Source organism: Homo sapiens, chromosome 1 (genome assembly GCF_000001405.40).
Source record: "Homo sapiens chromosome 1, GRCh38.p14 Primary Assembly".
In the NCBI taxonomy this organism is placed as follows: Eukaryota; Metazoa; Chordata; class Mammalia; order Primates; family Hominidae; genus Homo; species Homo sapiens.
Window position 1 is genome coordinate 109,803,729 of NC_000001.11, and position 12,071 is coordinate 109,815,799.

General features: G+C 46.9%; 1 pseudogene, besides 2 other annotated features; it reads right to left on the minus strand.

Annotated features, from left to right (window-relative positions):
- Positions 4,101-4,744: an enhancer, noted in NCBI's record as "H3K27ac-H3K4me1 hESC enhancer chr1:110350451-110351094 (GRCh37/hg19 assembly coordinates)". NCBI's record gives its function as "activates a minimal SCP1, AML or CMV promoter by ChIP-STARR-seq in naive H9 embryonic stem cells {active_cell/tissue: H9 hESC(naive)}" and the evidence as "EXISTENCE:reporter gene assay evidence [ECO:0000049][PMID:30033119]".
- Positions 4,745-5,387: an enhancer, noted in NCBI's record as "H3K27ac-H3K4me1 hESC enhancer chr1:110351095-110351737 (GRCh37/hg19 assembly coordinates)". NCBI's record gives its function as "activates a minimal SCP1, AML or CMV promoter by ChIP-STARR-seq in naive H9 embryonic stem cells {active_cell/tissue: H9 hESC(naive)}" and the evidence as "EXISTENCE:reporter gene assay evidence [ECO:0000049][PMID:30033119]".
- Positions 5,733-7,286, minus strand: NDUFA5P10 (NADH:ubiquinone oxidoreductase subunit A5 pseudogene 10; annotated as a pseudogene).

Here is a 12,071-nt window from a genome sequence, read left to right on the forward strand (position 1 = left end):
GGCTATAGGAGGGGGTGCCCCTTTCTAATTCCTGCTCTTTTTTCTGGCTCTGCTCATACCCTCATCCATGTACCCCCTATTTCCCTGCTTTGCCTCCCACCCCAACCTACAGTGCTTCCCCTGCCAGATGTCTGGGGATGTTTAGAAGAGGAGAGTCACAGCCAAACAACTGCTTCTCCACCCCAGCCACCCTGATGCATCCGGGAAGTGGTGCTCACTGGGATCTGAGTTCTTAGGCGTCATAGGGCAGTCATGGAGGCCCTGGGTCCTTGAGACAGGTGTCCTGGAAGCCAGTGCACGGAAGCAGGGTGATTTCACATTGCTGGAAGAGTCCTCTTCTCTGGGGACCCTTCGCCAGTAAAACCCACCCTCTCACCTACTCACTCACTTGCAATTCAGAGAGGCTGGCTCACCACCAGGCCCACCCCAAGGGATCTGTGTATCACTTCCTGTGGGAGGCTCTCCCTGGCACCCGGCGGAGGCTGGCTGCCCATCGCATGCTCCCAGCACATCCCGTCTCTCCTCATGCTGTAACCCTTATCACACTGACATGGCTTGTCTGTTGTCCACGTCCACCACTGTACCCGCCACAACCTGGAATCCCTTGCACCTGGCACAGTGCTGGGCACACAGAGAGGGCTCAACAAATGTTTGTTAAATTAAAATGGAAAAAAAGGTATTTCAATCAATACTATGCAGGTTGCTCTTCCTGTATCTAGGTGGCCACTGAGAGAACAATGACCAGCTCTGCAGCTGGGGTCCTAAAGAGAAAACCAGCCTGCTGAGTCTGGAGACTGGGCTCTGTCCCTGCTGTGCCTCATGCTAAGTGTGTGCCTGTGGTCAAAGTCTCTGAGCTTTAGGTTTCTCATCTGTAAGATGGAGATAGTACTTACCTTAGTTTTCTATTGCTTCATAATAAATTATCACAAACTTATGGGCTTATAACAGCGCACATTTTTTAGGCTTAGCTGGGTCCTCTCCAGGGCTGCAGTGAAGGTGTCAGCCAGGGCTGGGTTCTTCATCTGGACGCTCAACTGGGGATGGATCCACTTCCAGGCTTATGAAGGTTGTTAGCAGAATTCATCTCCTTGTGGTTGTAGAACTAAAATCTTTGTGGTAACTGTTGGTCGGGGGCTGCTCTCAGGTCCTAGAGGCTGCCTGTAATTCCTTACCACAAAGCCTCTCTGTATGCCCCTTCAGATCATGGCACACACTTCTTCAAATTCAGCAAGGAAGAAAATGTCTAGCACCAGTCTGCTAGTAAGCCCAGGTCTTTTTTTTTTTTTTTTTCTTTTTTGAGACGGAGTTTTTCTCTTTGTTGCCCAGGCTGGAGTGCAGTGGCACGATCTCGGCTCACTGCAACCTCCGCCTCCCAGGTTCAAGTGATTCTCCTGTCTCAGCCTCCTGAGTAGCTGGGATTACAGGTACGCACCACCATGCCCAGCTAATTTTTGTATTTTTAGTAGAGATGGGGTTTCACCATGTTGGCCAGGCTGGTCTTGAACTCCTGACCTCAGGTTATCCGCCCGCCTTGGCCTCCCAAAGTGCTGGGATTATAGGTGTGAGCCACCATGCCTGGCCAAGCCCCCGTCTTTTATGGAATGCTTCATGAATTTGCATGTCATCCTTGCGAGCCCACGTTTTTTATAATATAACATAATCATAGAAATGACGTCCCATTCCCTTTGCTATATTTCCTTGTTTAGGAGCTACTCACAGGTCCTGCCCTATTTGAGGGCTGGGGGTCACAGAAAGGCATGGACATGGAGTCACTCCAGAGCTCTAGGAGCTAGAGTCTGAATCCTACAATGCTAATCTCTATCTCCTAGATTTCTGGAGAGAATTAAGTGAAAGAATGCCTGGCACTTAGTAAGAACTCAGGAAATGTCACAGAAGGCAGCAGAAGCAGCTGTCTTTACTTTGGCCCACTTTGAAATGTTGGCTCACAGCTTGTCCTCAGTCTGCACCTGCCCTGTTGCTTCCACCACGCTGCTGTGGTCACTTTTATCACGTGGCTGGATCTTGAAGGCAGTTGAATTTGCTAAGTGGTATTAGCTGGAACGATCAACAGGTGTTATTATCATTTTAATTAAAAGTTCTTGGAAGATAAGAACCCATCTTACCAATGTTTTCAGCCTCTGGTGCTTAGCTTGTTGAGCTTAGGATGTTGGCTTTAGCTTGGCTGCTCTGTAAGTGTTGAGCCATTGTACCCCCTAGAATGATGTAATTGAGTTCAGAGCTACAGCCTCAGGGTACAAGTGATGGTTGGTGGGGAGAAGGGAGCAGGCATGGGTTGGATGGGCAAGATAGGTGACAGCTGGGAGGAGCAGTAAGAGTCTTGGCAGGTCCCCGAGTCCAGATCCTGCCAGGGGAAGCGCCTCGGCCCTGCCGCCACGCCCACCCACCCTCCCAACTCCTGGATGCTCCAGGCTTTCTTCCATTCTTTCTGTTCAGCTCCCCTCACACCCCTACCCCCAAAGCAGAGTGGAGTGCAGTGGCGCCATCTCGGCTCACTGCAAGCTCCACCTCCCGGGTTCACACCATTCTCCTGCCTCAGCCTCCCGAGTAGCTGGGACTACGGGCACCTGCCACCACGCCCCACTAATTTTTTGTATTTTTAGTAGAGACGGGGTTTCACTGTGTTAGCCAGGATGGTCTCGATCTCCTGACCTTGCGATCCACCCCCTCGGCCTCCCAAAGTGCTGGGATTACAGGCGTGAGCCACTGTGCCCAGCTGGGCCCTGTCCCTTCTAATGTGGGAATAGAAGCCTGATTCTTTCACAGACATAGAGCTTCTGGGCCGGGAAGGGCCTTAGGCTTGGGGTGAACAACTGTCTTTAGGATGCAGGTGAGTTGTGTCTATTGAGCACCTACTTGTGCCACTGGGCTCTGCACTTTACATACTTCATTTCCACCATTTTTCAGTCTTCAAGGTGGATAAACCAAAGCCCAGAGAGGGAAAGCGGTTTTTTCTGGTCACATAGCTGCTAGGCGGCAAAGTTAGGACCAGAGTTTCGGTGACCTGAGCCACTGATCCAGGATTGCCTCTCTGTGACACTCCCTCCCACCCAAGTCTGTGGGCCCCCTGGTGTCAGTAGTGGAGCGTGTCTGCCTTGGCCCTAGTCCGGTTCTTCATACAGGCTGCTCTGACTCCCACCCACAGTGTCTTCCTTCCCGCCACCCTTCCTTCCAGAACTTGGCTCCAGCCTCCTACCAACTCTGTCCCACATCCCTCACCCCCAGCCTGGCCCAGAACCAGCTGGGGCAGATGGTCCAGACCCTGAGTGTATTCTTTCCCGGCAGGGACAGAAGCAGTTTGAGGCTTACACATCTGGGCAGCTGTTGCCCAACTTTGATCTGCAGGAAATAAGCCAGAGGGATCCTTCCTGTCACTTCTGGGCTGGACCCTGGCCCTGAGAGTTGGAGTCTCCTCAGAGAGGCAGAGGCCTTCCTCAGCTGTGGGAGGGGGTGGTGGCAGCAAGAAGCTAGGGTACTGCGTGGGTGGGGTCACCTGGCCTGGGACTGGGGGCAGCCAGACTGGAAGTTCACCCTCTCTCCTCAGGTAGAAAAGTGGACAGAAGCCCAGAGGCAGTAGCCCAGGGCCAGGCCTGTAAGAGCCTGTAAACATCTGAAACTGTCAGTTTCTTCCAGGGATGTTTTTGTTATCACATCTGATTTCCCTCAAGGAGTCAGTGGTAAAGCCCTTACAAAGCATGTCTTCAGGGTTGGAAAAGAAGCAGAGCTGGGTTCCTGTGTTCCTTTTGCACCCAGATGAGGTTTGGGGAGGGTGGAAGCAGGTGGCCAGGGCTGGGAGATGCTGGCTGTGCTCCTGCAGGGTGGAAGGCAGCCTGGGTCTGGGTCAGGGTGGAGCTGAGACTTTGTTAGCCTGGGAGTCAGCTGTTGCGAGGGCTCAGACGGGCTGGCATTCCCCCGAAGCCCAGCCTGGCTTCCAAGAAAACACTCTAAACATGGTCGGTAACGGCGGGGAAGAGCACCGTGCAGCCTGGCGCCACCTCCTTTCATAAATGGGAGCAGGTCCGGGCTCCTCAGGGGCAGAACCTAGCAAAGGAGGATGCGCACAGCAGGCACGCACACACCTGTCACCCACCACAGGACATAGGTTGCAGACCCCTGACCTTCTTGGGCCTGTGCCTGTGCCAAGAAGATTGGGGTCTGCAGCCTATGTTCTGTGGGGGATGACATGTGTGTGCATGGTCCTGAAGAATCATACACAGCCCCACCCAGCCACACCCAGCCACCCACAGCCACATGCACCTGCAGGCATGCTTCATCACACTCAGCACCACACAAGCACTAGAACACACATAACCACAGGTGATCATGCCTAACACACCATGACATACAATCACACAAAACCATAAGGCACCAGGTGCAATCACATTCAGTCTTCCATCTGCACTCAATCACAGCTGGACATTGTTACACACAGGGATTCTGAGTCACATGCAGTCACACACAGACTTGTACCACTCTACACAACCACAATCACATTCAACCACACCCTTCGGCGCATAACACATATCACAGGCAATCACACACGACCAGTACAGTGGCAGGCAAGCATGGGCCATCACAGGCCATGGATGGTGCTTTGACTCAGCAGGGGGTCAGGGCCTGGGGAGACCTTGTTCTCTGAATGGGGGTTGGTGAGGGCCTGGCTGTGACTAGGGGACAGAGGCATCCATCAGCCATTAGACAGTCCACTTCCTGGTCACCCCTTCAGAGTGGTGGAAGTTATTCCCCCTGCCTCCCACCCAGCAGAGCATTCCTGGGTCCTGATGCAGTCTCCTTGGCCTCCTACCTCCCTCTCCTCTGGCCTTGGCTGGGCCGCTGGCGGGAAGCTTGGACCAGCCAGGACTACGGTGAGTCAGCAGGGAAGGGCTCAGGGAATGCCAGGCAGGTGAGTGACCCACAGTGCCTGCAATTGATGGGGCTTCTGAGAGTGGGAGGGCTGCCATTCATCATCGGGGGCTGCCCACTAGAGATCACCCACCCAGGGGATAGAGGGTTATGGGCATGGGACCAGGTGACGATGGTAATTTCTCAGCCAACCCTATATCCAAAGCCTCTGCTCTTGGAAAACTCCCTATAGAGCTGTCAGGGTCTATGCCCTCCTACAGGCTGAGCTCTGGCCTGGGCCTCTGCTCCCACATGGTCCCCAGCTAGGCTCAGCCTGGAACAGCCCTGCATCCCCAGCACTACATCCTGCCCTCTACTGTCACTGACTCGCTCATTCATTTAGCACTTTGCGGAGCACCTACCACACCAAGATGCATGACAGTGTCTTCAAGTAGGGAAGATGGCCCAAAAGATGATTCCAGAACAATGTGGACGTATAGCGACAGAGATATACACATGTTATTGTGGAAGCTGCTGGGATTGACTGCTTTGTGAGCTCTGGATGGCCAGTCCTTGCTATGGGGGCTGGGATGGCTGCTGACAATGGTGACCTTCCACAGGCAACCCAGCCAGAAGTGCTGAGCCCCTCCCAGGAAAGGCACCAGCGGGCCTGACAGTTAATTATAGAGCCCCCTTTTTTTTTTAAAGGAAGTAACTCAATCCACTTTAATATTTAGCTAGCATTTATGTTACAGGTCTATGAGGGAAGAAATATACTGGAAAAAAGAAGAAATACATTTTTTTCTCATTCTGAAAGATTTCGTTTCTCCACAAGACAGCAAAATACACAAATATATGCAAATGTGTGCATGCACACGTGCACACAACCCACAAAAGTACTATCTATGAAGGAAAGAGATACCAAGTTCAATTGAAACAGGTATTTAGAAATGATAGGGAGGTTGGAAGAAAAGGTGAGAACACGTGAAAAGTAATTTTACTTTTGTTTAACCTTAAGCTTGCCAACTTTTTTCCTTGAACAGCATTTGTCTTGTTTTCATACCCACCTATGCTCATATCAGAAACTTAAAACTACTTCGTGATTCTACTTTGAATTTATAGCCACATGACTAAGATGTTTTGAATATAAGCCTATCCATATGCCAGATAAACTTTGAGAACTCTTAATGTCTCTTCTTTTATGAGAATTCTATTCTGATGTAGTTGGGTTGATGAAGAAAATTAAAGGCCAAGGGCCAGAAAGCCAACTTCCTTAAAGGCAACCCAAGGAAAAATTTTCCAACTACCTATGTGCAAGAAATATTTCTTTCAAGTACTAAATCAATTTCTTCAACTGTACAATGAATTCTAATTTGATGGTTTCCAAAAGTAATAGAGTAACAACAAAATGTGATAAAATTAAGACTATATGAAAACAGAATAAATGGAACAATAATTCAAATAAAAACTAAAATAAAATGACATTTACTATGGATTTTTGTAATCAGTATCTCATAATATACTTAAATTTTCCTTTTATACGTAAGATCACAGCCAACCAGGTTAACTGTAACTTCCAATTTTATCACTAGCCACTTGTGCTATTTTATCACATTTGAAAATATCCACTCTTACTAATTTACTTCAAACTGTGACTTACCAATTTGTTTAGACAATAATAATTAAGGGCCCTTTCTTTGTCAGGATAATAAAAAATTAAATGATATATTGAAGATACTACTAAAGAAACCACTTTGTTGATTTTGGCCTCTGCATTGACGATCTGTAGGAATTTTTCTAATTAATTTTCAAATCTTCCCACAAGCTTTATGTTCAAAGAAATATCATCTTTGAAATAATTTGCGGGAATAATTTACAAATCAAAAATTGATTCACAAGATTGTGTTGCTGTAACCACTAATTTTAACAACTAAATATTTTCTGTATTGGTTTTCTTGATTGTAAAATGTCAATAATATGGAGGTACTTTTAATATACCAGAACACTTAATTACACCAGTTTCCCATCAACCCACCAAAGTCATTTAATGATTATATTGGCCATTTCCACTGATTGGCAGGAGGCTCGTCAGCTAAGAGGTCTCATGGTTTCCACTGCATTATTTTTTTCACCAGACTTCATTCATTTTTAGCCTGAAGAATCACCTCTTCTATTTGGCCACCTTGAAGTCAGTCTTCTTATTTTTTAACATCTGGTTCTGCTTTAACCATTTAACCATTTTAACCAGCTTCTCATTTGTAAACAGTTCTGTATGCTTTCTGTATGTTGCATTTTTAGGGTTTTGCTCAAGAACATCAAGAATCTTTGCATGCGATATTCTCAGCCTCTCCAGTGGACTCTTGCATACATTCAGTCTCACAAGGCCAGGGTTCTTCTTCAGCACACTGCCATGACAGCACCAATGAGCCCACCCATTTTCTTTTATCTAACAGAGCCAGAAGATTACTTTTTCAGATCTGAAGAACGAAATTTTAAATGCCATGTTTGAAGGAAGTCTTTCTAAAATGATGAATTCCTGCCGGGCGTGGTGGCTCACGCCTGTAATCCCAGCACTTTGGGAGGCTGAGGCGGGTGGATCACCAGGTCAGGAGTTCAAGACCAGCCTGGCCAATATGGTGAAACCCTGTCTCTACTAAAAATACAAAAATTAGCCATGTGTGGTGGTGGGTGCCTGTAGTCCCAGCTACTCAGGAGGCTGAGGCAGGAGAATCACTTGAAGCCAGGAGGCAGAGGTTGCAGTGAGCTGCACTCCAGCCTGGGCAACAGAGTGAGACTTTGTCTCAAAAAAAAAAAAAACAAAAAACAAAAAACAAAAAAAATGATAAATTCCTGCCTCTTGCAGCACAGCAGATTCCCCACAGCATTCTTCTTGTCTAAGAGCCATTAGTCCCAACTTCCATTATGACTAGACCAGGATGCAGTGATGCTTTCTTGGGCTCAGAGTAGGGGCACAAAAAATACTTGAGGAACGGCCAGGCGCAGTGGCTGATGCCTGTGATGCCATTTGGGTGGTCGAGGCAGGTAGATCACCTGAGGTCAGGGATTCAATACCAGCCTGGCCAATGTGGCAAAACCCCGTCTCTACTAAAAATACAAAAATTAGCTGGGCATGGGGGCTCGTGCCTGTAATCCCAGCTACTTGGGAGGCCGAGGCAGGAGAATTGCTTAAACCTGGGAGGCAGAGGTTGCAGTGAGCCAAAATCATGCCATTGAACTCCAGCCTGGGCATCAAGAGTGAAACTCCGTCTCAAAAAAAAAAAAAAAAAAACTTGTGGAACACATACTAATGAGCCCACCCAGTTAGGCTGGAAGATTGGAATGCAGACAGTAAAGAACAGAATGCTCCCTGGTATCGGGTCCATGGGGTGCGACAGCCGCTACTAGGGTCTTTCTCTCTTGTTCTCTGGACTCTTCCTAAGAGAAGAGCGACTCTTCCTGCCTCCCTTCTTCTTTGCTGCAGAGGCTCAGCCTGTTTCCCCTCTTCTAGGCCCTGCATTCATTCTTCTAACATCGTCTGAGGAGTATGTCCCACTCTCACTGGGTCCTCCTTTCCTGGCTGTCCCTGGACTTGAAGAGAAGCACCAGCCTTCCTTCTAGTTCCTTCTCATCGCTCCCTGGAAACAAGATGTTAACAAAAATCAGAACCACAGGAAAGTTGCAGAGGCTCTGGAATCTTAAAAGTCCCTACATCCGGCTCGGCGCCGTGGCTCACACCTGTAATCCTAGCACTTTGGGAGGCCGAGGCGGTGGATCATCTGACGTCAGGGATTTGAGACCAGCCTGGCCAACATGGTGAAACCCCATCTCTACTAAAAATACAAAAATTACCCAGACGTGGTGGCGGGCGCCTGTAATCCCAGCTACTCAGGAGGCTGAGGCAGGAGAATCACTTGAACCCGGGGGAGCGGAGGTTGCAGTGGACTCCAGCCTGTTTGAAAGAGTGAGACTTTGTCTCAGAAAAAAAAAAAAGTCCCTACATCGTAAGCGGCTGTTTAAAAAAAAAAAAAAAAACAACAAAAAACAGCTAAGGCATCCCTGCCTCACATCTATAATATAATAAAATAAATTCCAGAGAAATAAAATGTTTCAATATAAAAAGAAACCACAGAAGACATGAAAGAAAACAGGAGTGACTATTTTTTTTTATTTTAGAGTGGGGAAGACCTTTCTAAGAAGAAACTCAGAAAAGCCTAATACATTTAACTACATGAAATTTGTAACATTCTGGACAACAAAAGCTCTATATACAAAGTCAAAGCACAAAGAACAAGCTGGGGAAAATACTTGCAACAGATAAAACAAAGGGTTTGTATCTCCAAGCTACAAAGAGCTTTTCCACATCAACAAGAAAAAGATAAACAACCCAACAGAAAAATGAAAAAAAAGCCAGGAGCAAGTAATCCATAGAAAAAGTATTATAATTAGCTATTATATGTATGAAAAGATGTTCAACCTCCCCCATAGTTTAAAAAAAATCAAATTAAATCTATCAGGATGGCAAACATTAAAAAGATGAAATATATATATACATATATATTTTTTTCTTCTTCCTCTTTTTCTTCTTCTTCTTCTTCTTCTGCTTCTTCTTCTTCTTCTTCCTCTTCCTCTTCCTCTTCTCCTTCTCCTTCTCCTTCTCCTTCTTCTTCTTCTTCTTTTTCTTTTTGAGACAGAGTCTCCTTCTGTCACCCAGGCTGGAGTGCAGTGGCACAATCTCGGCTCACTGCAACCTCTGCCTCCCAGGTTCAAGTGGTTCTCCTGGCTCAGCCTCCTGAGTAGCTGATATTACAGGCATGTGCCACCACACCTGGCTAATTTTTTGTATTTTTTGTAGAGACAGGGTTTCATCATATTGGCCAGGCTGGTCAAGAACTCCTGACCTTGAGTGATCTGCCCACCTCAGCTTCCCAAAAACTGTTGGGATTACAGGCGTGAGCCACTGTGTTCAGCTAAAAGATGAATAATATTTAGTATTGACAAGATGTGGGTTAATGGGCATTTTCACAGGCTGTATAGTTGGAAGGAAAAATTGGTAGAAACATTTTTGGAGGGCAATTTTGTAATATCTATTAAAGTTTGAAATATGCAAGCCCTTTGACTCAGTAATTCCATTGCTAGGAATTTATTATAGAATAAGGATAAACACCACACATCAGGGAGTTCATGGTGCATTTTAGGGGAGTCAGTGTGAATTTGTTCCTCCACAGGGTAGTGTTTTGTCTTAATCCCCTTGGGATTCTACAGGCATCTGGGGTGTGGAGTTTATACAGTCCAGTAAACTCACTTACTTCTCTCTAAGCCCATACACCCTTAAAAGCTCTCATAGGCTAGGCACAGTGGCTCATGCCTGTAATCCCAGCACTTTGGGAGGCCAAGGGTGGCGGATCACCTGAGGTCAGGAGTTTGAGACCAGCCTGACCAACATGGAGAAACCCCGTCTCCACTAAAAATACAAAATTAGCCAGGCATGGTGGCGCATGCCTGTAATCCCAGCTACTCAGGAGGCTGAGGTAGAGGAATCGCTTCACTCTGGAAGGTGGAGGTTGCGACAAGCTGAGATCCTGCCATTGCACTCCAGCCTGCAACAAGAGCAAAACTTTGTCTAAACAAACAAACAAACAAATAAAAACTCTCATAAATCCCCACTTCCCCTCCTCTAACAGCTCACTTTTTGTTGGAAAATAAATCCCTCTGACTTTGGGAAAGCCATCTGTACCTCAGCTCCAGAGGGGAGCATGTGACCTAGACTCTGTCGGAATATTTTATCCTCCCACCACATCTGTTGGTTCGGTGGCGGGCACATGGCCTAAGCTGTTCTCATTGTAATGCAGTTCTGTTGGAAGTATTAGGACAGAGATCTTCTTTTCCTATAGGTGTCATAGATAGATATGTGATCTGAACCGCTCTAGTTCTTTTTCTGCAAGGATAAAAATGAGCTTGAGGATGAAGCTAATCTACGGAGCAAGCCTGAGCCAAGTGAATTACAGATAAATGAGCTAAAGCCTGATGATGTTGTAAACCTCTAGATCAAATCATACCTGAATCCCACTGAGCCTCTGGGCTTTTCTGATGCTGGAGGCAATACATTCTCTCAGTTTGAGAAGAGATGTTTGTGTGCTTGCAGTGGAAGCCTCTCCACAAAGACAGAGTCCCTCCTCCTTGCAGACCATCTGGTTCTTTGTCTAGTAAGGCTCTGCCTCAGAGAACAACATTTTGTTAATTCTTCTTGGGAGCAAGGGAAGCCCTCACTTCCTTCATCCTAGGCTTGACTGCTTTGAGGTACTGTTGAGGTGGTATATGGAGGTGAGAGAAAAATGCCTCCTTGTCTGTGTGAGCCTCCTGTAACAATGTAAACTAGTCAGATATTAGTCTCTCCCTAAATTATCTCACTACATTGGTTTCAGCTACAAAACTAGGAACAATTCAAATGCCCATCAGCAGGGTAACTTAATCGTGGTTCAATCACATGGCCGAGAGTGGGGGGATCCTCCGCAGCCTTTAAAAAGATGGAAGAAATGCTCTATGTACTGCCATGAAAGGCACCCAGAATAAACCATTTATTGAAAAAACCCGGTTGAAAAACAGAATGTATAGTATATAATGCCATTTGTGGTTTTTCAAACTGTAAGTCTGTGGTTCTATCTGAATAGAAAAAGGTCTAGAAGGAAGGTTGCTTGCACAACAAATTTTATAATGATCCCTGGGGGCTAGAATTCCGCAGGCTTTGCATTTTCTATTTTTTCTACTCCTTTATTGAATTTGTATAGTGTAATAAAAAGATTTTTTTAAAGAAAATTTTTACAGTGCTGGCCTCTGGTCTGTAGCTCCCTATTTCCCTCTGTGGCAGTAACTGGAGGCCTCAAGGGAGCTGCCACATCCTGAGTGTGTAGCTAAACACCCCTGCTGCTCCAGGAAACTCCAGCCTTGCTTGGCCTGTTTTTGGGTCTGTAAGAGACAACTCCAGGGTGGGTAGGGCCTCAGGGGCAGGGCCGTGTACCCAGTCATCCTGAGCCTGGTGTACCACCTGGTGCCAGGTGGTGAAGAGTGACTGGGCCAGGATGCCAGGGGGTGGAGTGGTGAGTTGCTGGTCTGCTTTGTTAGAGGAAGATGTCGGCATGGGTAGTAGGCTGAATCATAATCCCCAAAGACTTTGGATCCTAATCCCTTCGTATCAGTGAATGTTACTTTATATG